At 39.8% G+C, this 27,898-nt stretch overlaps 1 protein-coding gene, 1 long non-coding RNA gene and 1 other non-coding gene across 39 annotated transcripts in view, besides 2 other annotated features; 1 reads left to right on the plus strand and 2 right to left on the minus strand.

Moving 5' to 3' along the window:
- The window catches only part of DLG1 (discs large MAGUK scaffold protein 1), a 256,762-nt gene extending 234,966 nt beyond the window's left edge, over positions 1-21,796 (minus strand). For 15 of the 37 annotated variants that reach the window (NR_158764.1, XR_007095643.1, XR_007095642.1 and 12 more), the window contains exons 1-4: positions 20,148-20,610; positions 19,661-19,710; positions 18,821-18,952; positions 5,154-5,320 (exon numbers count right to left, since the gene is read on the minus strand). Coding sequence is in view for 33 of the 37 variants with exons in the window: in NM_001366216.1 (NP_001353145.1) it covers positions 5,154-5,320; positions 18,821-18,952; positions 19,661-19,679 (318 nt within the window). In the remaining 4 variants the exon portion in view is untranslated. Of the gene's footprint in view, positions 1-5,153; positions 5,321-18,820; positions 18,953-19,660; positions 19,711-19,827; positions 19,957-20,018; positions 20,611-20,892; positions 21,088-21,519 lie in introns of those variants that run through there. The other 22 variants (NR_158765.1, NM_001366219.1, NM_001366212.1 and 19 more) reach the window with 6 other exon arrangements.
- MIR4797 (microRNA 4797) lies at positions 16,353-16,423 on the minus strand. The gene has a single exon (NR_039960.1). It is a non-coding gene; the product is annotated as a microRNA 4797 (primary transcript).
- Positions 20,014-20,643: a silencer, noted in NCBI's record as "silent region_15086". NCBI's record gives its function as "represses an Ori minimal core promoter by ATAC-STARR-seq in GM12878 lymphoblastoid cells {active_cell/tissue: GM12878}" and the evidence as "EXISTENCE:reporter gene assay evidence [ECO:0000049][PMID:35858748]".
- On the plus strand, positions 20,722-26,226 carry DLG1-AS1 (DLG1 antisense RNA 1). Its single transcript, NR_038289.1, has 3 exons — positions 20,722-21,085; positions 21,453-21,567; positions 25,003-26,226. It is a non-coding gene; the product is annotated as a DLG1 antisense RNA 1 (long non-coding RNA).
- Positions 21,134-21,263: a silencer, noted in NCBI's record as "silent region_15087". NCBI's record gives its function as "represses an Ori minimal core promoter by ATAC-STARR-seq in GM12878 lymphoblastoid cells {active_cell/tissue: GM12878}" and the evidence as "EXISTENCE:reporter gene assay evidence [ECO:0000049][PMID:35858748]".
- Positions 26,227-27,898: the final 1,672 nt, after the last annotated feature.

The raw sequence follows: 27,898 nt of genomic DNA on the forward strand, positions 1-27,898 counted from the left end.
AGGCGGGGTTTTGCCATGTTGCTCAGGCTGGTCTTGAACTCCTGACCTCAGGTGATTCACCTGCCTGGGCCTCCAAAAGTGCTAGGATTACAGGTGTGAACCACCAGGCCTGGCCTCATCTTTTTAAGAGTCATCTATCCTTCCTTATAAATCAACCCTTTTCTACTGAAATATCCCATTAAATCAGGCAATTCCTCCTACTCTTTACTCTTGCTTTTTTTTAAGTCTATATCCTTTCTTATAATCTCTAAAACTAACTCACTCTTATTTTAGAATAGAGTTGTTCTTATAAAAATGATGTGTTATTTTTTAAAATTAAGAGAGAGAGCCGGGTGTGGTACCTTACACCTGTAATCCCAGCTACTCTGGAGGCTGAGGTGGGAGGACTGCTGGAGACCACCACCAGGAGTCTGAGACTAGCCTAGGCAACATAGTGAGACCCAGTCTTCAAAAAACTGTTTAAAGAAATGGTTTTGGGGTCGGGCATGGTGGCTGAAGCCTGTAATCCCAGCACTTTGGGAGGCCAAGGCAGGTGGATCACCTGAGGTCAAGAGTTTGAGACCAGCCTGGCCAACATGGTGAAACCCCATCTCTACAAAAATACAAAAATTAGCCGTGTATGATGGTGGGTGCTGTAATCCCAGCTACTCGGGAGGCTGAGGTGGAAGAATCACCTGAACCTGGGAGGTGGAGGTTGCAGTGAGACGAGATCGTACCATTGCACTCTAGCCTCGGTGGGAGAGCAAGACTCTGTCCCAAAAAAAAAAAAAAAAAAAAAAAAAAAAAGAAATGATTTTAGCTGGGTGTGGTGGTGCACACATGTAGGCCCAGCTACTCAGTAGGCTGAGGCAGGATGATCCCTGGAGCCCCCAAGTTTTGAGGATACAGTGAGCTATGATCGCACCACTGCACTTCAGCCTGGGTGACAGAGTGAGACACAGTTTCTAAAAAAACAAAAAAAGTAGTACAAAAAAGAAAAAAATCCCTATCACTCTGAAACAATCATTAAACACTAAACAAACATTATTCCAAACATCTCACTAGACATATGCTCAAAGTAAAAGATAATATATACAAAAAAAATTTTTTTAAGAAAATGGGATACTAATCCTGTCCCTTTAAATTTACTACATCAGAAGAAATAGAACAAACAAAGTTATAAGGTCACAAAGTAACTGACAAATGACCTGGCAAGAATTAGATCAGTGAACTTAAAAAAAAAAAAGACAAAACTGGATAGCTGCTTTAAAGATGAAGATTTGCATTTTAAGAGAATAACAGTCAAGGCTTTGTGAAAATTGAGCAATCTTAACTACTTTTAGCAAAAATAATCCTCTTTTTAGTCCTGCAAAAGCAAACATGAAGTCAAAGAGGCATGTTGCATGCAATTTTGTTGGAAAAGATTACTATATCCAAGAATTAGTACACAAGTATAACCTAAATTCTGTTTAAGACAAAATGGTTTTGATTTTCAAATTTTTCAAGTTATAGTACAATAAACTTTAAGTTTTAAGTTATTTGTTTTGAGCAAGTGGATTCTCTAAGTCCCTTTTTAGTCCTAAACATCATGCCCCAAGAGTCTAAAGTAGCAAATGAAACAAGAGATCAAATGATCACTTAGCCAAGTTTTCCAAATGAAGCATGAATGGATGGGTGAAAGGGAACATGCTTACTTTCTCTCATAGCACCTTCAAAAAGTAGCAATTAAATCCCCAAACATTCCAGGTTTTTTAAAAAATCATTATAAATATCATCCATCAGTGTGTTTCAAAACTATTTACATTTTCAGACAAACATTTGTCAGGATTTTCTGTCATCTCTATAAGATGGTACTTCCTACTAACTGACTTTGCTCACTCCAGTTTGATATATACAGGTTTTTGCTACTTTTTAAACATCTAGGCCTTGATGGACATATCCCAATGTTCCCCTTAGAGTCTATTCATGAATATGAACAGATTTCAAACATTACTACAGCATTTTCCATGTGCCATGCGCTAAACAACACTCTGTGACCATATTCTCTTCTCATCTACTTTCCAAACTAATAAGATCTGACGCTCACAATATGAAAGTTCTTTTTCTCCTATTCCCTTGAGGTGCCTTTACCATGTTCATAATATATCTTTCAGGAGGTGTAGAAACCAGAGCTGCAAATAGCGTTCTAGATATGAGTGCCTCATCATTTTATAAAAATTGAAGTGTTACCAATGCCATTTTTGATGAAATTCAATGCACTACTGATCTTCCTGAATGAAATCTATATGGAAAAAAACTTTCAGCTTACAAAACTGTCCACTTTTCCAATCTTAAAGAATACTTACAGTTAAAAATATTATTATTGATATATAATGGTATGTATTTATAGGGTACATGCGATATTTGGTACGTGCATACAATGTGTAATGGTCAAATCAGGGTATTTAGAATATCCATCACCTCAAACATTTATCATTTATTTGTGTTGGGAACATTTCAAATCTTCTAAACCATTCTGAAATAGACAATAAATTGTTGTTAACGGTAGTCACCCTACTGTGCTACTGAACAGTAGAATGTATTCCTTCTAACTATTTTTGAACTCATTAACCATCCTCTCTTCATCTTTTCCCTCTCCCACCCTTCCCAGTCTCTGGTAACTATCATTCTACTCTTTACCTCCATGAGATCAACATTTTTAGCTCCCACATGAGAACATGTGATATTTATCTTTCTGTGCCTGGCTTAATTTCACATAATGACCTCCAGTTCCATCCATGTTGCTGCAAATGACAGGATTTCATTCTTTTTATGGCTGAATAGTAGTCCATTTTGTGTGTGTGTGTGTGTGTGTGTGTGTGTGTATCACACTTTATCCATTCACCTGTTGATAGATATTTAGATTGATTTGATATCTTGGCCACTGTGAATAGTGCTGCAATAAACATGGGGGTGCAGGTATCCCTTTGATATTCTGATATCCTTTCTCTTGGACAGATACCCACTAATGGGATTGCTGGTGGGCAGTTCTATTTTTAGTTTTTTTGAGAAACCTGCATACTGTTTTCCATAATGGCTGTAATAATTTACATTTCCACCAATAATGTCAAATATTCACTTTCAATGGTTACATTACTTAAACAATCGCCTATAAAAATAAGTAAATCGAGTATAAGAATTCGAGGCTTTATAATCAAGGGTATCATAAATCGGACAATAAAAAATACTAGTAAGCAATTCAATTCTCTTAAAGTTTAACATGTTTTTTACATAAGCAATTTTCTAACCTAGAACTAAGACAATAAATGTGAAATAACTGTCTTAGTCCCTTCTGTGTTGCTACAGCTGCATACCTGAGACTGGGTAATTTATGAAAAACAGAAAATAATTTCTCACAATTCTGGAGGCTGGGAAGTCCAAGATCCAGGTATCTGATCTGGTAAGGGCCTTCTTGTTACATCTCAACATGGCAGAAAGCAAAAAGTTAAGCTAACATGCTAAACTTTTTGTGGAGGCTCTTTTTTTTTTTTTTTTTTGAGACGGAGTCTCGCTTATCGCCAGTCTCGCTTGTTGCCCAGACTGGAGTGCAGTGATGCCGTCTCAGCTCGCTGCAACCTCCGCCTCCCAGGTTCAAGCAATTCTCCTGCCTCAGCCTCCCTGGTAGCTGGGATTACAGGTGCATGACACCATGCTCAGCTAATTTTTGTATTTTAGACGTGAGACGTGGTTTCACCATGTTGGCCAGGCTGGTCTCAAACTCCTGACCTCAAGCAATCCACCCGCCTTGGCCTCCCAAAGTGCTGGGATTATAAACATGAGCCACCGTGCCCAAGCTGTGGAGGCTCTTTTATAAGGGCCTTAATCCCATGAAGGATGGAGGAGTCCTCATGGCCTAATCACCTCCTAAAGGTCCCACCTCTCATTATCTTCACATTGGCAACACCTGAATTTTGGAGGGGACACATTCAAACCACAGCAGTGACTGACTGAAGACATTTTAAAAATCCATTTGAAATAGACCTCAGACTATTATAAAAGCAAGTGATGTATTAACCCAAAGAGTATGGAAATGGAAATTATCCTGGAAAAAGTGATGGAAAAAAAGTGTAAAGAAAATAAGGATATACACAATAAACATTACACTAATCAAAAAGAAACATACAAGGTCTAGGATTAATAAAGAGAACTGTGAGTTGGGTGTTAAGAGTCCTGAAATTCAAAGGTATAATTGCCCAAACTAGCTAAATAAAGTGGGTCAAGTTATTCTATTATGGATCTCAGTTTCCTCATCTTTAACATGAAGACAAGGGATCAGATGTGCTCCGATTCTTCCTGCTCTAAAATTCTATAGTTCTGTTACTTAAAACTGAGAAGCCATCTAACTTCTTTACCAAAGTGCTATCTGGTTGAGGCCTACCACCACTTTTCCCTGATTTATTATTCACCAAACAGAAACATCGCATTTTCCAGGCACAGCACCATCTTACACTAACTAGAAAGGACTAGATTCAAATTCAGACAAATAACCACTTTCAAATGACTAATGCTTCTTAGGCAGAATCTTTGTTACAAACTGCTTCATACCTCTGCTATACCATATCCAACTGGGCAACAGTATAACACACACAAAAAAGTATATTACTAAGATAGTTATGAATACTCAAAGAAATAACTTTACAGAAAATGTAGAAACCAGTGCTGATGTTCAGGTTTACTCTTCAGTCTCTAGTGAGTTTGAATGCCATCCTTCAAGCCAATAAAGAAGAGATTCCTTGAGGTAAATGGGTACAACTTAGCAGCCCAGACCACAAAACTATATCCTATTTCTAGGAAAGAATACCAGAGCAAAACCATCTTTTCAAAGTACCATTTCCATTTTAATTACCACACAGATGAAGCCTTGTTGAGGTCTATCATGCAAAGAATTTTTTAATAGTCTAAATCAAGTATTTCAGACTTCAAACATTCATAACATTTTAAAACAGGGGCAACAGAGAATCTGAGCTTTGCTTTTCAAAAATATTTTTAACCCCATTCTCTTTATTCTATTATAAATTATACTTCCATAACAAAATCCACTTGTATAAAATATTATTTTAATAAAATAAAGAAACATAGTAACATAAATAAATTGATCACCAAAAAACAGCTTCAGAACACATTTTTTATCTCACCTCTACACTAGGGCTAAGGCTGCTTGGCAGTGTCTCTGAAGTCACAGTAGAGCTTGGAAGGCTGGAAATCTCCCAAGTATTCACAGGTTGAATTGGTTCAGACGGCTTTGAACGATCTATACATTTTGGATTATCCAGTAAGGTCACTTCATAAAATTCTTGAATATCTAGAAGAAGGAAAATAAAAATTCATAAGTATTTATATTTTCTAACTAAATTATGCAATGCTATAACAACATAACTCAAAAGCACAATTTTTACTCTAGATTAGTAAATCAATTCCCATCGTATAATGTACTTAAACAGTGAATATTATCTTATTTCATTATATCACAATCATATCAGAACCTGCAGGGCACAGTGTAAAATTCATAGGCTTTTTACACTTCAAAGTCAGCACTTGATTCAAATCCCAACTCCATCACCAACTAGCTACAAGTTCAGGCAAACTACTTAACCTCTGGTAACTTGCCTCTTAGCACTGTGAATTGTTTCAAGGCTCAAGTATAATACATATAAGATGCCTAGCACTATAGCACAGAATAGGCTCCTAACAGATGGTAGCTAATATCATTACTGTGAATTCTACAGATAGGAGTTATTACCGTTCACCACCAATATCTAAGCTGGGAATGTAAATCCCTCAAGTGGTTTTAATTGCCCTTCTAGCCAAAGCCAAAGCCAAAAAAAAAGAGGAAATTAAAATCAAAGAACTAGAAGGGCTTTCGGATATCCTCTAGTCTGAATATTTTATAATAGTAAATTAAATATTTTATACTACTTTAGAAACAATCAGTTAAAGTCATGACAAAACTCTAAAATAAATGATAAATTTATTTATAATAGCACAGGATAATTTAAAAGATCAAATGACTTTGCAATCAGCTAGAATTATAAAAACTTATTAACACTAATTATTCCCGCTATTCCGAAGCTGTAAGTAGCAGTTATATAACGCTTAGATTCACCACGCTTAATTCCTTATTCACCAACTTGTATAATTTTGGATAAGGGAATAGTAAAAGTGGGCATTACCCTGTATAGAATAATTCATAACTGTAAGCAACATTTAGACAGAATAACTTAGACTTCTTGCTTCTCATTATTTTAAAAGCATTAGTCCTTTTAAAAACAAACTTCACAAAATAGAGACAAACTTAACTCCCTTTTCAGTTGGGTTGTTTTTTTTTTTTTTTTTTTTGAGACAGAGTCTCGCTCTGTCGCCCAGGCTGGAGTGCAGTGGTATGATCTTGGCTCACGGCAACCTCCACCTCCTGGGTTCATGCGATTCTCCTGACTCAGCCTCCGAGTAGCTGGGACTTCAGGCACGTGCCACCATGCCTGGCTAATTTTTGTACTTTTAGTAGAGACAGGGTTTCACCATGTTGGCCAGGCAGGTCTCGAACTCCTGACCTCAGGTGATCTGCCCGCTTCAGGCTCCCAAAGTGCTGGGATTACAGGTGTGAGCCAGTGCACCCAGCCCCCTTTCAGTTTTAATAACCAGTGGAATTGCAAAACTTTCCAAGTAAAGGGCTGGTAAAAACTAACACTTGTACAGTGAGGATAATATTAACCTACCTCACAGGGTGTTAAGAATATTATATACACACATACGCACACACACATATGTGCTATGCATACACGCAAACACACACACATCACACTATGTAAAACAAAATCCAACTATAGCAAAATAATGCTTCAAAAGTCATCTCTCTCAATACTATTTTATCAGGAATTGCCAAATTTACTACCTAGTATAAAATGATAGTCTTTCAATAAACCTATGCAAAAATTTAACTTGAGTACAACTCTAAACTTAAATCTTCACCATGAAAATGTAAAGAAAATGGGAGCACAGAGGGGTAGTCAAGAGACTGCCAATAGCTACAAGTGATTCTATATTCATCTGAAGATCCAGAAAGCTTACCAAATACCAAAGAATTGAAATCACCTATTACATTTTTATTTACTACCCTGCGAAAAATTATTTTCTTTGAAAATAATGATACACTACAGCAAGCAAGAAGAGAAAACAAGAAAATGCAGAAATACTAAAATATGTATTAGGAAAAAATTAGATTTTGGTTGACTCACAACTGAAAACATTAATTTTGTTGAAACCTACTCGGTCAATCTTATCACAGTCTATTCCTCATTTTCCATTCATAATCTGCAAGTGCTTTCCCTGTTTTGGCCTAAACTGGGTTTCCACAAGTCCGATTCCTGAACGCAGATCTAAACAAGACCACACAAAGCTCTAACATGTACACTAAGAAACCTCCAAAAATCAAACTTGAAGAAAAGCAGTTAGGTCCAACAGAAGAGGCCAGAATCATTCTTATCTATTAAAAAAAAAAAAAAAAAAACTGGAAATCTCCAAGATCACACATTTCAGAAGCCTTCAAATATATAATTTTCTTTTACATAAAAATTTTTCATTACCTTTGTTATTTTCTTGCTAGAATTCAAAGTTTGCAAACAATGGGAGTAAAGGGAAAGTGCAGAATCCCAGAAATACTCTCAAAGGGGGTGAGGAATGGGAGAAAGGGAACTTTCAAATAGGCAAAGAAACATTCTAGCTTTTGGTGACAACTTACATAATCTTAAACAGAGAAACCCACAAGCCAAGAAACATTTCTCAAACTAAAGAAATAAGGCAATACTAACTTAGGGTCAGGGGAGAAAATCTAAATACAGGCCCAAGAGTATGTAATAATTTAACATAATACCGGTGACATTTCTAATCTATGAGAAGATAATAATTTTATTTGATGGGGAAAAGAGAATGAAAAGATAAGCCACAGACAGGGAGAAAATACTGGCAAAACACATACCCAATAAAGGACTAATATTCAAGTGGACAAAAAATTCTTTAAGACTCAACAATAAGAAGACAATCCAATAAAAAAATAGGCAAAAGATACAGACAGACACTTCACCAAAGACAGAGATGGCAAGTGAGCATATATCAAATATCACCAGGGAATTTCAAATTAAAACAAGATACTACTACACACCTATTAAAATGGCTAAAATCCAAAGCACCAACACTACCAAATGCTGGTGAGGACACAGGGCAACACATTGCTGACAGGAATGCAAAATGGTACAACCACTTTGGAAGGCACTTTTGGCATTTCTTAAAAACTATACATACTCATACTATATATGCTCCAGCAATTGCGCTCCTTGGTATTCACCCAAACAAGCTGAAAACTTAAGTCAACTCAAGACCCTGCACACAAACGCTCACAGTAGCTTTATACTAACTGATAAAACTTTGAAGCAACCAATATGTTCTTTAACAGGTGAGTAGATAAACTGTAGTATGTCCACACAATGGAATATTATTCAGTCATAAAAAGATACGAGCTATTAGGTATGAAAAGGCATGGAGGAACCGTAAATATATTACTAACTGAAAAAAGCCAATCTAAAAAGGTTACATACTTATGATTCCAATTATGACATTCTGGAAAAGGCAAAACTATGGAGACAGTAAAAAGATCAGTGGTTTTCAGGAGTTTGTGTGGGGGGTGTAGAAGTGGGGTACCGGAGAAGAAGAAGAGCACACAGGATTTTTAGGGTGGTGAAAAACAACAGCGGTCTCCAACCTTTTTGGCACCAAAGACCGGTTTTATGGAAGACAATTTTTCCACAGAAAAGAGGGTGGGGGAGCTTCTGCAGTGAAACTGTTCCACCTCAGATCATCAGGCATTAGATTCTCTCATAAGGAGTGCACAATCTAGATCCCTTGCACGCGCAGTTCACGACAGGGTTCATGCTCCTGTGAGAATGTAACGCCGCTACTGACCTGACGGGAGGCAGAGCTCAGGTGGCAATCGCTCGCCTGCCGCTCAGGTACAGGTCTGTGGCACGGGAGTTGGGGACCCCTGCTGTACAATACGGCAATAGTGGATACGTGTCAAAGCAAAAAATGTGCACATCAGATTTGTCAATGTACAATGCAAAGAGTGACTACTAATGTAAAGTATGGGCTTTAGCTAATGACAATATATTAATATTGGCTTATCAATTTTAACAAATATACCACACTAATGCAAGGTTTGTTTTTGAGACAGGGTCACTCAGGCTGGAGTGCAATGGTATGATCATGCTCATTGCAGCTGTTATCTCCCTGGCTCCAGCAATTCCACCACCTTGGCCTCCTCAAGTGCTGGGATTATATACAAGAGCCACCTGAGCTCAGGCCTTTTTTTTTTTTAAAGAGACAGAGTCTCACTCTGTCACTCAAGCTGCAGTACAGTAGCGCCTTCACCTCCTGGGCTCAACAAATCCTCCTACCTCAGGCTCCCAAGCAGCTGGGACGACAGGTGCATGCCACCATGCCTGGTTAAATTTTTTTTTTTCCTAAGACAGGGTCTTACTATGTTGCCCAGGCTGGTCTCAAACTCCTGGGCTCAAGGATCCTCCCACCCTGGCCTCCCAAAATGTTGGGATTACATGCGTTGAGCCACCACACATGGCCTACAAGATGGAAAAGGGAAGTGGGGCTTTGGGATATGGGAACTGTACTTTCCACTCAATTCTTCTGTAAATTCAAAACTGCTGAAAAAAATCTATTAATTTCTTAAACTGCATGAGAGATAAATAAACTTATATTAAAAGGCAATCTCATACTTTATATCAAGATAATTTTCAAATGCATTAAAATGTTAAAGTCTTGAAAGAATTTGAATACAGGTTTTTACAATCTTGGCAATAGATTATAATAATGTTGGGGCTTAGAGCATTGGGAATGTTTCCAAACGTATTAAGGGCAGAAAGCAGTATATTGATAAAGAAAAATATTGATAAACCCAACCATATATATATATGTTTTCTTTAAAAGCCAAGTTTAAAAGCAAGTAACACGGGAAGTTATTTGCAATTTACACGGCAGAGTTGACAGGCCTAATGTAGATTTTATACCTCTAAGAAAAAGGAAAAAGGAGGAGGAAGGGGCACAAATTAAACAGATAATTTACAAAAGAAATTAAAATAATTAAAGACTTTCTTACAGCTTTGGATATTTCTTTAATCAACAAAATGCACAATAAAACAGAAAAATGACTAAAGGTATATTCCATATATCAGAGTAGAAAATATTTAAAAGATGGATAACACTCTGTATTGCTTAAGGTATGGTGAATTGGTCATTCTTCCACATACTTCCTAAAAAATAAATACAACATTCCTAAGAGTATTTAACAAATTACCTCAATAGCCTTAAAATGCACACTCCCTTTGACCAAACAATTCATTTCTAGGAGTTTGTCCTAAGAATATAGTAAAGAATTGAAACAAAAATGCATATGCAAATACAATATTTATAATTCACAAAAATTACAAACCTAAATGCTCCTAGGAAACCATTAAAAAAACTACAGAAAATCTATATAGGCCGGGTGCAGTGGCTCACACCTGTAATCCCAGCACTTTGGGAGCCTGAAGCAGGCAGATCAGGAGGTCAAGAGATCGAGACCATCCTGGCCAACATGGTGAAACCCTGTCTCTACTAAAAATGCAAAAACTAGCTAGGCGTGGTGGCGCACGCCTGTAATCCCAGCTACTCAGGAGGCTGAGGCAGGAGAATCACTTGAACCCAGGAGGCAGAGGTAGCAGTGAGCCGAGATTGCACCACTACACTCCAGCCTGGTGACAGATCAAGACTCCGTCTCAAAAAAAAAAAAAAAAAAAAGAAAAGAAAAGGAAAAAAAAAATCTATATACACAGTCACTTAAAATGGTACGAATCTGGCCAGGCACAGTGGTTCATGCATGTAATCCCAGCACTTCGAGAGGCTGAGGCGGGCGGATCACCTGAGGTCAGGAGTTCGAGACCAACCTGACCAACATGAAGAAACCCTGTCTGTATTAAAAATACAAAATTAGCCAGGCGTGGTGGCACATGCCTGTAATCCCAGCTATTCAGGAGGCTGAGGCAGGAGAATCGCTTGAACCTAGGAGGCGGAGGTTGTGGTGAGCTGAGATCAAGCCATTGCACTCCAGCCTGGGCAACAAGAGTGAAACTGTCTCAAAAAAAAAAAAAAAAAAAAAAAAATACATACATACATACATACATACATACATAAAATGGTAGAAATCTACTGACATGGAAAGACATTTGTCGATAAACTTTAGAAGATAAAAACAATATGTATAGTACAGAGAAATCATACTATTCACACTTATACAAATACAACTGCAGTATATCTCCCCTGCAAAAAAGGGCAACTCTGTCTACCCAATAAGTGACTGTCACAAATAAAAAAATGAGAAGGAAGAAGATTCTTCCTTTAGGTAGTCTGAGTTTTCATGTGCCTCTCAAAATGTGAGCTTCTTGCTATATCTCACTGTGCTGAGTGTGATTCTATAATTACGTGTTTTTAGTACAAGAAGTCAAACAAGCCAGTTGCTTCGTCTAGGGCTCAAGTGAAGAAATCATTCCTTTCCACTAGAGGAAAAAAAACAATTGTGCTGTAATTAACAAGAGCTAGTGTTAAATTTCTGAAGGCTTTTCAGGGATAATTTTAACTAGATGAGGTTTTTCACCTTACATGCTGATTTTAAGTATCAATTCTCACAAGGGAAATAACTGTTTTACTTAGAAGTTTGTTTTGCAAAATGAAGGTGGGGGGTGGCGTGTATACACGCGCATACACACACACACACACACACACACACAAATAACATTCCAGGATATTCATCCCATGGATGAAGTAGGAGGTAACCTCTGGTGTGAATATTTTCTTATGGTATTTTACATATAATAATCTGATCTCAAATGTTTTATATAGAACATGCATCATTTTTATAATAAATTTATTTTGGAGGGTTACAGGAAAGGCAACTAGAAAGCTGAAGAACACTGAAATATAACCCTACCATTTCAGAGGAAAAAAATTCTATCAGTTCATTTACTAAAAGCAAGTATGATTATTCAGACAATACCCAATTGAGTAATCAAAATTAACATCATCAGTGAAGGGCAGATGACATACTAAGATAATACCACAATAGTCAAATCTACTCAAGCACAAATACTCTTTCTTCTAAACCAATGTTCATTTAAAAAGTCATTTTTGACCCCTAGAAGAAAGAATATCCTATAAAATTTAAAAGTTTGTACTATTGTTTCACACACTAAAGAAAGGAAAGATGTCAAGCTAGTAGGCAAAAATAAATCACTTGAATACTTTAGATACTATTAGACTAAGAATCATACATGACTCACAAGCATATTCCATAAAACAAGGTGTGTACTAAAAGGAACCAGAGCTTCTCAGAGAAATGGCTGATTCCAGGGCTGGGGCAGGAGAGGTACAAGATAAACCTGGAACATCTTGTTATGCCAAAAATTAAGAAAGTGCTCCAAAAAATGATGAGGGCATCTCATAAGGACACAAGCTTGAAAGGGCCCCCACTGGATCACTCAGAGCACAAATGTCATTAAGGATGGTAATAAATGATAAGTCATTGAAAAAAAAACAGGTATCTGCAAGTTCATGAAAGACACGGGAAAAAAAGAAGGAAGGCTCTTGTTTAGAATAAAATGCAAAGTGTTAACTGGTAAACCTAGGAGTGTTACTGTTAGAAATCTTACTTTTCAACAACCATATTATAAACCGGTTCAAGAATCATCAATGGATGCTAAATATGGGTGGAAATTTTGCTAAGGAGTAGGATATGTACATGGTGTTAAAGTGTCTCCCCCACATATTGCCTATAAGCCACAAGGGGTAAAAAACAATGACTATAGGATACAGAATTCAGACAACACCCAACTAGGTAATCAAAATCAGTATCATCAACAAAGAGCAGATGACTCTGTGTACCTCTGGATGTACAGAATCCTAAGCCAGGAATACAAAACCTGAATCTAATCACAAGGAAACATCAGACAAACCCAAAATGAGAAAATTATATTAAAAAAAAGTAAGAGTGGAAGGAACTGCGTTTTTCAAAATCATCAATCTCAGCTGGGCGCAGTGGCTCACACCTGTAATCCCAGAACTTTGCTCAGGAGTTCGAGACCAGCCTGGGCAACACCTGTCTCTAGAAAAAGTTAGCCAGGCGTGGGGGCTCACACCTGTAGTCCCAGCTACTCAGGAGCCTGAGGCAGGAGGATTGCTTGAGCCTGGGAAGCAGAGGTTGCAGTAAGCCACCACTGCACTCCAGCCTGGGTGGCAGAGCAAGACCCTGTCTCCAAATAGTAAAAAAAAAAAAAAAAAAAAAAAAGTCAGTCTCACACAAGACAAAGAAAAGCTGTGGAAATGTGCCCTAAGTAAAGAGACGTGACAACTAACGGTAATATCTGGTCCAAGTCTGGATTCTGCACTGAGGAAAAATATGACCCTGCAGAGAGGAAATGGCTTAGAAGAAATATTTAGATGCCTTTACAACTCTGATTCCAAGGTTCTAAAGAGAATTCAGCCAGATTCAACATAATCAAAACACTGCTTCAGAGCAGTAGTAAGCAAACTATGAGCAAAGAACTCAATCTAATTGAATCAAAACCATCAAGTGAGAAGTTACTAAAATTCTCCATTTCAGGAAGTTTCAGCCAACGATGTGATCCATATCCTGTTTTCCTTACTCAAATCTAGCCTACAAAGTTACACACACACACACACACACACACACACACACACACACACAGTTAGCAAGAGACTAAAATGTAACATCAGTGGGACTAATATAATGCAAAAGAAATTTAAGAAATTTTGACATTTTACCACTATAGCTGGAAGATCTCAAACCCTGATTACTAAACACTGTTTTCAAAATGTGTGATTTCCATCATCATAAACATAATGCACCATTATAAATATTTTCCTTCAAAGTGACAATCATTTAAAGATTACTAACCCTAAAGATTGCTATCTGTCTTAAGCATGCTTGTCATTTAGTATTCTTTATCAGATTAAAATACTCAGTTCTGAAAAACAACGATAAAGAATATCCCAATGGTTGACGGTGAGAAGTATCTATGGATTCAGATTAGTTGAGTTCAATTTCTGGCTCCGCAATTTAGCATCTGAGGGTCCAAGGGCAAGATTGGTCATTTCTCAGTGCTTCAGTTTTCCAGTCTATAAAACAGTACAAACACCTCATACAGGTGAATGTACACCTCACAGGATTACAATGACTAAATGATATATTTGTATTAGCACATAGAAAGTGCTCAATAAATGTTGGTTATTATGTTTTACATACACTTGAAGAGGAGTCATATACTCACACTTATTAGGATGGCTATTATCAAAAAAAGAAAGGAAAAAAATTAAGTATCGGCAAGGATGTGGAGAAACTGGAAATCCTGTGTGCTGCTGGTGAGACTGTAAAATGCTGCAATCACTATGGAAAACATTATGGTGGGCCCTCAAAAAATTAAAAATGTAACTGCCGTATGATCCCACAATCCTATTTCTGGGTAAATATCCAAAAGAACTGAAAGCAGGGTCTTGAAGAAATATTTGCACACTCACATTCCTAACAGCATTATTCACAACAGCCAGGAGGAGGAAGCAACCCAACTGTCCATCAATGGATGGCTAGATAAAATGCGGTATATACATACAACGGAATATTATTCAGCCTGAAAAAGGAAGAAAATCCTGTCAACAACTACAACATGAATGAACCTTGCGGACTCTACACTGAGTGAAATAAGCCAGTCGCAAAAAGACAAATACTTCTATGAGGTTTCTAACATGATCAAATTCACTGAAACAGAAAGCAGCACGTTGGTCACAAGGGGCTGGGAAGTGAGAGGAAAGGGGAGCAGTTGTTTATTCGGTATAGGATTTCAGTTTTGCAAGACGAAAGTGTTCTGAAGATTTGTTTCACAACAATATGAATACATTTCACACTCCTGAACTGTACATTTAAAGATGGTGAAGATGGCAAAGGGGTCATACTTTTGAAACTAGTATCTACAAATAAAGATAGGGTAATGTCCTTTTATAAGGGCTAGTGAAACTATTAGATTTTAATAGAGTGGCAACAAATGAACTGGTAACTAAACTCATAAATGGACAGTATTATTACATAATCCACTTTCATTCTGAAATCTCTGCAGAAATAAAACACTGCATTAGAATAAGCTTATTTATTGCAGACAAAATATACAAATCACATGACTCAACTTACTCAAGTCTCTAAAGCCAGCCTAATCTTGGGCCCCAGTTTTTCTCATGCACAAGGAAAGCAGATGAGTTCTCTGATCCCGTAAGAAATAACTGCAGGGGTTTAGACTGGTATGAAGTCTCTATGGACTAGCAGTGTCATCTCAGATCCCACACACCTTAGAATCATGAATGAACTGAAACCACTATGGACCTGAATACCTGGGCTCTGATTATAATCAAACCATATCCCGTCTACTCAAAAAATTTTCAAACTTAAGCACAAAAAACTGGAATACAAAAGCAAGTTTTCAAATTGCTCTCACCTAAATCACAGAGTGAAATTAAGCAGACTTTATCTTCCTTTATACAAAAATAATCACCAGGTATGTTTTGGGAGTAAATTTTAAACAAATGTGCAGTTCATGGACTTTTGTTAAGATACAACTTTAAATATTTAGCTCTAAAGAAACAATACATCAGCTGAAATTCAAAATTAGTAAAAACTTTTCTGCTTTCAATAATTTTTAAATCTTTAAGCCATCCTTCAAAGATACTACCAAGTATCTATCAGCACTAGACCAATGATTTCTATATTACATTGCGAGTATCAATTATAAAATGCACTATTTCATGTGTCAGAACACAGAAACACTGTCAATTAAAAATGACATATACCAGATATTGAAATATTTAACAGTTGGTATTTTAGAACAAATATAATACAGTACGTACATGCTTGTCCCTCTGAATAATCCAAAAGTACAGGAACCTAATCTATGTATCAACTACAGGGGGGGACACCAAACCCCTAGAGACTCAAACTTTTTTAAATGCATGAAAAGTCAATATAAACTACCAGTTCAAAGAATCAATCAATAAATGATCAATGCAGACTGAAAATCCAAAGACACTTGGCACCCCAAACAGATAACTAGATAACTCACTGCGGCCTAAACAAGTGATTTCCAAATTAAGGAAGTGAAAAATCTAAGCACTCAATGACTCCAAACAGCTCAGGTGGCCAAGACCCCTGTTCTCCTTTAATCCAGTGGTCCACAGGTACCAACTCAGAAGACAGAGTGCCACTTACTGAGAGAAAAAACCTTTCAGTAAGTGGCACTCTGTCTTCTGAGTCGGATTTTTCTGCAAACACTATGGACACAATGAACTGGTTTAGCTTAGGGCAGTTTACAAGCTTAAAGTACATTTATGACACTGTTTCAAAACAATGGTAGAGTTGCAAAATACAAAGAAAATCTTATCAGACTAAACATTTTCAGACTAAGTATTAAAAGTTATTCAGGAAACACAAGAGAATGTATTTATTCCGTAGTATCAACAATTATAGCATGGAAACACACAGAACCTCTATTAAACGTTATCTATTTCAAAACTCCTAAAATCTATTACTTGTCTTACACCAAAATGTGATATAGTACCACATCCTATAGAACATTAAATATAAGTAAATTTAAATGTCAAAGTAAATTCACAACCAATGAAATTAGAAGATTCACAAATATAAACTTAGTAATTAGGAAGCTAACTCTAGGCCAGACGCGGTGGCTCACGCCTGTAATCCCAACATTTTGGGAGGCCGAGGTGGGTGGATCACGAGGTCAGGAGATCGAGACCATCCTGGCTTACACAGTGAAACCCCGTCTTTACTAAAAATACAATACAAAAAATAAAAAATTAGCCGGACGTGGTGGTGGGCACCTTTGGTCCCAGCTACTCAGGAGGCTGAGGCAGGAGAATGGCGTGAACCTGGCAGGCGGAGCTTGCAGTGAGCGGAGATCTCGCCACTGCACTCCAGCCTGGGTGACAGAGTGAGACTCTGCCTCAAAAAAAAAAAAAAAAAAAAAGAGAAGAAAGCTAACTCTATCAAAGTTCAATTGTACGTAAGAATAGACACATTCAAAACAGGCAAGGCAGAATAGGTCAAAAATGTCTCTGAACACAGCAAACCCATCCCCAATCTAGACAGAAATATAAATGTAGATTCTGTTATTTCACTAACGATTTAATTTTCTTAAGTTACAGCCATCACACAAAGAAAAGTCTGCAGTCTATCTATCTGCCTATCTATACATATATGTATATATATATCTCTATACTGTTGCGAAAAAACATACTTTTTTTGCAACAGTAACTGCACCAAATTACTAGGCTCAATGTTGATTTAGAAAACAAATAACTAAAAAATGCTTTTTGCTGTTTTTCCAGAGGAATCCAATTTGATCATCCATTCGGACCTTAAACCTCAGAAATTCAAATGTGTAAAAAATGTCCATCAATGTAAACAAAAATGGCAAAATGTGAATTTCTGGAGCTGGGTAACAGTTAAAAGGCAGTTCATTACACTGTGCTATGTATCCTTATGTTTTTAAAAGTCTATTAAAATGTTACATTTTTCAAAATTGTTCAGGTGCATCAAGTGGTCTTTACAAAAATCTTTCATTCTAAAACCGTAGAGAGCATCCATTTATCAATAATGTACCTGACAGGACACACTGACTTGAAAGTAGTCTTCAAATCACACCAACAATTATTCTATCAACAGATAGATGTAAGGCCATATCTGACTGGAAGTTACTGAAGAAATAAATGTAATATAATTAAGTATATGTCTTCTTATGTTAAAATGTTATATAGTTGATAACTAAAACAAAAAAAAAAAACTTCATTCTTAGAATTGGAAGAGACAAACTTTCTAGTTCGGTGGTTTGCAAACTTTTTGAGGTACCTGGACAAAAGAGCCAGACAAGTCACCTTGTTTTATACATAGGAGATTATACACAAAATATGAGATGATGCTTTTAAAAATGATTTATCTACTTAAAAAAGGCTTTAAACCCATTCTGTCATTTCAACAGCTACATTCTACAGCTAATATGGTGGCATAGAAAAGATTAAATGACTTGGGATATATCATTCAATTAGTGGCAAAAGAACTCAGGACTCTTATTTTTCCAGTTCTTTCAAACAATGCACCACTTCAAATTAAGTTACAATTAAGAATAAAACTTTCCATTTTCTTGCCTGTAAAATACGGTTACTAGACAAGATCATCTCTAAGATTATTTTCCAGGTCTAAAATTCTGACTCCATGAATGCCAAGCTCAAACAGAAATCTACATTAAGGGAATGAATGTTCTTCAACACAGCAGAACCCTTCACACGCTTTCAATGACTTCAGAGACATGCCAGTCAAATACAGAAACAAGCTCACAGTAACTCAGTCATACCTTTTAGGTCCTTAAACATCTGTGCAACATCTTTTAATAGTTAATGCTATTAAGATGTGAAACAATGTTCTCAAAAGCCACTGAAATAATCCTGAAAGTTTTTTGGTTACTAGTTATTTTAAGAAAGGACACTGGCCTATGAAAAACACACAACTCACTGAAGATGTTCAAGTTACCGAATGCCTCAGAGAATTAAGTACATCATTTTCTTAAGTTTAAAATAAATGAATTGAGAGGAGCATAAAGCCTAGCTGGCATAATAGTTACGAAGTTTTAATTCCCACCTATTAAAGCCTGAAAGAGGTTGCTCTGAAATATGTTAATAACCCGTTCTATGGAACTTCTGAGCTGTCTGTCTTCAGTTTGGCTTAGTTTTGAACGATATTCCTCCAAAAGGTGCAATGCTCTCTGGGTATCTGAGAAGAAAAAGCAGAGCCTGATTAAAACTCTCTATTTACAAAAAAAGTATCACATACTAGTGCAAATAATTCTGCATGACATCTAAATAGTTCCGCAAATCCTTCAGGTCAATTGATGTCACTATGTTCATGTACACATATTCCTTAGAATGACCAAAAAATAAAAAAAAAAATTAAAGAAATACAAGAAAAATTTAAACATATATCACATTAGAAAACGGAGGAGAGTGAGCAGTTTGGAATAAATGTGTACTGGTAGTTTGCCAAAGTAAAAGATCAAAGTATTAGCAACAGTTTCAGATTACCTGATAATGCAAAAGCAGATTATCTACAATTTGTCATCATAATCCAAATTTTTAACATTTCAAAATACAAATTCTTAGTATCCCACAGTTGCTTACAGAATAGTGCTTAGTAAGAATGATAGAGTGAAATACTAAAACACCAATTCAGGGTTATTAAGGACATCTGTTGGGGGGGGGCTAACTGCCTCTCTTAATCACTAGAGAAATGTTAAGAAAGTTTAACAAACATTTTCGTGTTTCCATCTTCTGAAATGATATGAGGCTTAGATTCCCTAAGCAATAAAGCTAGGACCGTGCTGTCTCATCAAAGTTACACAAACGATTCTAAAACGGCAATCAAAAAACTGACACACGGAAAAGCAAGTGACATCGACAACAGAGTTACGGAATAAACTCTCACCTTGCTTCCGGACCGGCATTTTTCTCCAGAATCAGGAAGAGGGCACACACCTTTAAAACACACAACGGAAAGGAAAAAGGATAGAATCATGTTAAACTAGCATTTTCCCCTATCGAAATAGAAAACCCTCGCAGCCTATTTGAAAACCCCACGTTCCAAAGTTTTACCAAGTCAAAGAAAGAGTCTCAAAACGCAGCAGTTGTCTGTCAACGTGGAAAGCTTTTCCTTGGAGTGGGTACCCCTCCAAATTAAGAACAGACAGAAGTCGGCTTCCAAACTCTCCTCGAAAGCGTCCCCTCCCCAAAGAGCCTAGACCTGAGGCCGCCTCTTCCCCCGCACAAGTATCCACACTCCCCACCTGCTACTGGGTACGGGCGGGTGAAGCGCTCCGACCCTTGGCCCCTGAGCCAGCAGCGGCCGCAGAGCGCTGAGAGGGGACCAGCGGGACTGGCCGCCCGCCCTGCTCGGGCCCCCTCCTCTCGCTTGCCTTTCTCCTTGCTCGCTGCCTCCGGGCTGCTCCAGCGGGGGCCGGACAGGGCAGCGGCCGCTCTCCGCGACGCCCTCGCGCCCCGCATGCACACCTCCGCGGGCCCCCACACCTGCGGCGCCGCCACAAAGTTCCGGTGAGCGGCGTGCGCTCGGAACTGGGGTGCGCCCCGGCCAGACTCGGAGCAGCTCCCCAGCCCGGCCCCGCTCCACGTACCCCCGCCCCGCCCGGGGCCCGCGGAGCCGAGCGGAGGGGGCGAAGGGACGGGGGAGGAGCTCCCCTGGGCCGCCGCACCCCCGCGGCCTCGTCCTCCTTCTCGGCCGCGCCGCCTCCTCGCTCGCCGCGGCCCCCCGGCCCGCTCGCCCAGTTGCTGCCGCACGCCCCACCCCCGGAACCTCGCCTCCTTCCGCGCCCCCAACCGCTCTCCCCCGAAACTTTCCGCCAAGATGGCGGCCCCCGAGCTGGCCTGCCGCGCTCCCACGTGACCGCTTTCCCGGCGCTCTCAGCCAATGGGAAGTGAGGAGGCGGCTCGCGCCGAGCCCCGGGCTCCCCGCGCTGCTACCTTCGGGTTGGAAGGGGGAGGCGGGTCGGGGGAGGGCAGGGGAACGGAAGGGGTACCCGGGGAGCATCCTAAGGGAACCTCTTCGCTTAAAAGGGCGGCCGCTGAAGTGGCTCTGAGAACAAAGGAGTTAACACTCGGACTCCACAGGTGGCCCGGGGTGGCCCTGGAGGAGCCCGCCTTTACCTTGCCCTAGCCCACCGGCGCGTCCCGCAGTTCCGAACTAAACGCGCCAGGCCGGGAAGGCTCGGGCTGTCTGAAGAGAGGCGTGACCTCGCCTACACCAGATCCAAGGCGCACATACCGAGACACCCCTCAACCTCACTCAGCAGTGCCGTTTCCAACTCCGCGGCAGAGACAGCGCCTGGCGACCCCGGGGGTAGATCCCCACCGGGGAAAAGCCGCCTTAAGGAGGAGCCAACTGCACCTCCCAGGGGGCGGGGAGGGCGGGGCCTGGGAGAGGGAGAGGGAGGAGTTCGGGGAGGGGTGCCAACTCTGCATTGCCTTCCACTCCAGGCTGATTGTTAAGTTACTCTTCGTCCCTTAGTAATAGGCTTGGGGGGAGGGGTTTCATTACAGAAGGACATATGAAATAGAGACACTGGTTAACTTGGCAAGAGTTTGAGGGTTATAGTACAAGATTTTTAAGCCTAACTGATTAATTCCGAGTATGGTATACTTAAGGGTGGGCAGAGAAGGTTTGTTCATTCATTCGCTCATTCATTCATTCATTCATTTCCCTCAAGCCTGCGTCCCCGCCCGGTCAGCATCGCAGGTGTTACCCAAACTCTGACGGTCCCTTTAAGAACTCACCCGGAGTCGCGCCCTCCGAAGCTGAGCCGCCCTCGGCCAGCGCTGCAGGTTTGTTTCGTGCGCACCTCCGGGCGGAATTACCGGCCGGCTGGGACCCCGCTCCCGGTCTGAGCCACCCAGGTTATAGAAGGGGAATCTCGGGAAGCTTTCCAAGTCACTGCCCACGTCTTCGAACTTCCTCGGGGTGACGAGGACCTCCCTATTAGGAGGTCCAGAGAGAATTTGCCCAAAGTTACCCCGAGTGAGTGACAGAACTGGAAACCCGGAGATCCTGTCTTTCAAAACCGGAAGGCTCTTCCCAGTAAACCTGACGGCCTCTGACTGAGGCCGTATCCATTGGCTACCAAAGGGAAGGCCGAGGAACCTCGTATTGTAACCTTAACAGCTACTCAGAGGTATACTGACCACTGGTTTTACTTTTGGATTGCACCTTAGAATCCTAACTTACTGTAAGGACCCACCGACTTTAGAACCTATCTAGGACAAGGAACCGAGGTCCGGAAAAAGGGAAGCAACTTGTCCAAGGACATAGACGCTAATCAGTAACAGAGCAGCCGAGAACTCAGGTCTCCTAGCTCTAGTCCAGGGCTCTTTCTCTTGTGATTTTGGACAACTTGACAGAGAGGTATGTTGGTATGTTGGCAGCAGACCTCTGTGCTTTCCCGGATCAAGCATCCTGGGATCTTGAACAACAGTTAAAGCAACATTGCATAGAGAAAATGGGATAGAAGGGTCAAACGGTGCTGAAGGCAGAGGTGTCCTAACAGCCGGGAACTTAACAGAGGGACGGAATTTATTTAGTAGTGAAAGTGGCTCATGACAGGCATCATACTCTCAAGACTTCGCTGATGGACTGTGAATGGGATGGTTGCAGTAAGAAACCATTCTAACAATGGAATCTCTTCAGAATTCAGAAGAAACAGGGAGGGAAATTTGCCCTCTCCCTTGATAACATTTATTGTTCATATATGTTCACTTGCTAGGAAACGGGGATAGAAATAAATAAGATCCGAGTCCTGCTCTCAAGGATACACAGCCTTGTAGCAAGTACACAAAGGCCAATGCACCTTTTCCCAGGGGACACTGAGGAGTCAAAAACAAAATTTGTGTGAGTTCTCAATGTCATCCTAGCCTTCCCCTAAAAGCAAAAAGGAGGAAGGGGAGGAAAGAGGACGTGTCCTTTTTTCTTGTCATTCTGTGTGACAGCCCTATTTGGTTGTCAGCGGTGTACAAAAGCAGCAGTGAACCCAGCACTTGTTCTACCCTTAGCCTAAGGTGCCGGCAGCAAGTGCCTAGCAAATGAACATATATGAACAATGAATAAAGGCTCTTTACTCTTCATTCCTCCTTTCTACCCATCTTTATTAGTTACTTATTGCTGGATAAAAAAAAAGTTCCTCAAAGCTTAAGGGTTTAAAACTTATTAGCTTAGTAAGTTAAACAGCGATAAATATTATCTCAGTTTCTGTGTGTCAGGAATTCAGGAGCGGCATAGTTGGGTGGTTTTGGCTCAGGGCATTATGATGTTGCAGTCAAGAAGCCTGCCAGGGCTGCAGTCATCTGAAGGCTTCAGGGGGACTACGGGAGGCTCTTTCAGCATGGATCATTCACATAGCTAGTAAGTTGATGCTGGCTATTGGGCGGAGGCTTCAATTTCTCACCATGAAGACCTTTCTATAGGGCTGCTTGAGTGTCTTCATGACGTAGCGGCTGACGTCCAACAGAGCAAGTGATTCAAGATGGCGAGACAGAAGAAGCCACAATGCCTTTCATCACTTAGTCTCAAAAGTGACACTCTGTCATAGTCTGTTTGGGCTGCTATAACAAAATACCTTAGACTGGGTGATTTATAAACAACAGGAATGTATTACAGCTCTAGAGACTAAGTAGTCCAAGATCAAAACACCATCAGATGTGATCTAACAGTCATGAGAATAAAAATTAAAAAAAAAAAAATGGCCAGGCGCGGTGGCTCATGCCTGTAATATCCAGCACTTTGGGAGGCCAAGGCAGGTGGATCACGAGGTCAGGAGTTCAAGACCAGCCTGGCCAAGATTGTGAAACCCCGTCTCTACTAAAAATATAAAAATTAGCCAGGCATGGTAGCAGGCACCTGTAATCAACTATTCAGGAGGCTGAGACAGAGAATTGCTTGAATCCGGGAGGCGGAGGTTGCAGTGAGCCGAGATCGCGCCACTGCACTCCAGCCTGGGCGACAGAGCAAGACTCTGTCTTAAAAAAAAAAAAAAAAAAAAAAAAAAAAAAAAAAAAAAAAACACCAAGAGATTCAGTGTCTGGTAATAGCCCCATTCCTCATGAATGGAGCCTTCTTGCTACATCTTCCCATGGTGCAAGGGACTAACAAGCTCTATCTGGCATCTTTTATAAAGGCTCTAATCCCATTTAGAAGAGCTCCACTTTCAAGACCTAATCACCTCCCAAAAGCCTCATCTCTTAATATGATCACTTTGAAGGTGAAGATTTCAACGTATTAATTTAAGAAGGACACAAACATTCAGACCATAGCATACTCCATAATATCCGATCAGTTACTTAGATCAGCCTCAAGGATATGAATACCAGAAAGTAAGACTCACTGGAGGCCATCTTCTTGGAGCTGGCTACCACATCATCACAACATACAAAGCAATGACATCTGGATTTTTCTTTTCTTTTTTTTTTTTTTTAGACCGAGTCTTGCTCTGTTGCCAGGCTGGAGTGCAGTGGTACGATCTCGGCTCACTGCAACCTCTGCCTCCCGGGTTCAAGCTATTCTCCTGCCTCAGCCTCCTGGGTTGTTGGGACTACAGGCATGTGCCACCACGCCCAGCTAATTTTTTGTATTTTAGTAGTGACGGGGTTTCACCATGTTGGCCAGGATGGTCTCGATCTCCTGACCTCGTGATCCACCCGCCTCAGCCTCCCAAAGTGCTGGGATTACAGGTGTGAGCCACTGCACCCAGCCCTGACATCTGGATTTTTCTAAGCAACTTTTATTTCCTCAAAGTTTTCCTTACTTTGTGCAGTGAGCAGCTGCCATTGAATAGGACACAATATTGGATCTAATTTTCCAACTTCCTCATTAAATATATATATATATACACACACACTATATCTATCTATCTATCTATCATCTATCTATCTATCTATCTATCTATCTATCTATCTATCTATCTATATCTGTCCTATCTGTCTGTCTATCGATAGTTAGATAGACGAATAGAAGAAGTTACTTCAACAAAATACTAGCAGGTAAAGCTGTTCACTTTCCAGCTCCAAGTTAACTTGCCTTTTGAAGAGCTTAAAAGGCTTCGGAGTCAAAGACCATGGGGAAAGGCTCAGATTTCCCATTCTTTTATTGAAATGTCAGAGAGTCAATGTCAAAGATACTGTCTCTAAGTTCCAACCCTTCCCTTCCCAACCATCCTGCCCAAGCCACCTTTGCAGCTTCACATCTCTGTCTTTGTCTTCTCCTCCATCTAGGCCCCAGCTTATAAATCTATGAAGGTGTCCAGGTCCTGCCAGACTCCGCTGCATCTTTTGCTTTCACTCCAGCAGGGTAGCAGCATGCTGCCTGTGCCAAGGCAATCACTAAAAGGAAAGGATTTAATGCTGTCAAAAAAGCTTATGCCAGCTTAGGCTGCAGGAAGAGGAACAGTGTCAAGTATGTTGAAAGTGGACATATTGGTCAGACCTCCATGAGAGCCTAGGGGGCATTGCTTAGCAGCACGCTTTTAAAGGAATCTGAACAAACCAGCATGTGGAAAGAAGAGAGTAACCACAGCAATCAGGAAACAACTGTACAATCTAGGGCCATTTCATTGGAAAAACAGAAGTCTCCAGGGAGCTGCAGTCATCAAACAGGCTTATTCTGTGTACCCAGTGGGCAAGTACAGTCAATGGATGAAAATTCAACCAATGGACAAACACAGGAAGTTTTTCCTTAACATGAGTTGTCAGAAACTGTCCAAAATTCCAAAGAGCTGCCTCAAGGTAGTGGAAATTTTTTTTTTTTTTTAATCAGGAAGGTGCTGAATGAAGCCAGCAAGGATTCTGTGTCAGAGGGTGGTAGATACCCAGGACATAAGGTTGAACCACGTGACCTCTGAGACCACAGTTCTAAGCTGTTGAAACCTCAGTCCCTGCTGAATACTGAAATGGTATTAGCACCCTTTAGTCTACATCAAGAATTCGTTCTACCCAGTTTTGGTGGTACCAAGACTGATCTCTTTCTCATAGATAATTCTTAACAGAATAAAAGCTACAGGTTGAAACCAATTCCCTTTAAAATGTGGACAGTTGACCATCTCCATGATAGGTAGTTAGGCACTGAATTAATGCTTTTTAATGGAAGAGCCACCCTAAGATTCCTGGAGTGTGGTATAATGGAGTACTAAATCAGCATAGGACTAATAACTGCCTCCCGTGTAAACTGGTCTATCCGGAGAGTGGTATAGCCTCTCATACAGTGTTCAAAGGCAGATTTAACTCACTGCAGGTCCACAGCAACCGATAAGATAAACTCGTTGGTTATGGTCTCCCACTTTGCAAAGGAGAGCACAGAGGAAGAGGAAACTGAGATAACTTGGTTTAGGACCCCACAGCTGGCTGGAGCTGGGCTGAACATTAGTTCATTGTTTCTTCGATTAATCTATGCTGCTTTTTCTCTACTTGGCTCCTTTTCTAAATTAAACAAAACAAAACAAAAAACACTGGGCACAGAGTGGTGTATATGTGTGTGAGAGAGAGACAGAGATAGAGAAAGACTAAGCGAAAGAGAAAAGAGAGAGGCTGAGTGAGATTCAGATAAAATAAGGCACAAGTCATGGGCTAGTCTGTTGTACAGTGTACTTGTCATATATTTGAATGCCTTTAACAATGGAGACAGTTTTGATGGAAATAGGGCCTTGAAGAAATGCATATCCGCACCCTGGTGGTATGTTATAACTAAACGGGTTGGTTTTTTGTTTCGGAGTTTTTTGGGTTTCTTTTTAATGCAAAGGTATATATTTAAAATACCCTGTAGCTTCCTTCTCTCCTTCATTTCATTTCCTTAAGTATGAGAGAGGTTTTCTGGATGACGGGACATCCAAACTGGAAGTGCCCTCAGATCCCATCAACTCCCATCCCCATGTTTGAGAAGCACGTAAAGTAAGCTCCAGAAGAGCTCCCAGACAACGTCGGCACACAATTATCAGAGGACTTTTCCCTGATGGCAGAAAGCTACTGACATTTCCAGAACCATCCATCTTTCTTTTAGAGAGAAGGGGCTGGGGGTAAGGAGAAATTAGTAATCTTTTCTAGAGATACGTTTCTAAGTTTAACCAAATTTGCTTTTCTGCTTTTGAAGAACTTGTGGTATTGACAGAACCGTAGGATCCCATATGGAAATCCTCAGGATTATACTAAAATCTCCTTACATGAAACAACCTCTTCACCCCACCCCCTGCCAAGAGAATGACCATTGTCTGTTCACAGAAGGCTTTGGCCAGGGCCCTTCAGTCAGATTATCCTTATGTAGGTAGAGAAGATAAACTTGGAAACTTAATTGGAATTTGAAGAAATGCTATTAGAATTTTAGGAAGTCATTTGTATTCCATTTCTGAGATATGACCTGAATAGAATTCTGGTAAGTGGAGAAGCCAGAAGATTCTTCATAATTATATGTGGACTGTGTCCAGTGACCAATCTCATTTAGGATGGAAAACTGCCACAACCTTCCAAAACAAAGACCTGTGTGCCAGTCTTTCATTTTTGGGAAGTGACACTCACTAGGGCTGTCATTTTCCTATTCCTCATGTTGTATAACCCTAAATTCCTTTATTATTTTCTTCTATTTTACACTCACAAGAACGGTAACGATAATGAATCATTTAAATCTTGCTTTCTATTTAAATTTTCTTTAGATTAAATTAATTTCTTCCCAAGACAATTTTATCAACTGAGATTAAATATTTGTGATTAAAGCATCTTCTGCCTTTTATAAATAAATTGGGCGGCAGTTGAAGAAACTTTTCCAAATATGCTTTTTAAAAATCCTGCAAAATTTTCCCAAGTTGGATATCATTTCAACTTGCAAATTACCACATGAATAAACAAAGCCAAGCTCGAAGGGAGTAGGAGACAATGAGTCAAAAATTTAAAAGGGATGGGCCTTTACCAATTACTAATGAAGATGAACAAAGCAATTTAAGAATAAGAGAGAAGTAAATATTTAATAAGAAATGCTACCATAATAATTTGGAGAAGCTTGGGTTCAAAAGAGCAGAATAAAGCTGTATCTCTATTCTTTTTTTCTCTTGGAAAAAGACTCCAAAAATATTAGAACAAAGAGAAACTTGTTCCTCCATCCTTAATAAAAAGAAGAGTGGCTAGGCGC

This window comes from Homo sapiens, chromosome 3 (genome assembly GCF_000001405.40).
Source record: "Homo sapiens chromosome 3, GRCh38.p14 Primary Assembly".
NCBI classification, from domain to species: domain Eukaryota; kingdom Metazoa; phylum Chordata; class Mammalia; order Primates; family Hominidae; genus Homo; species Homo sapiens.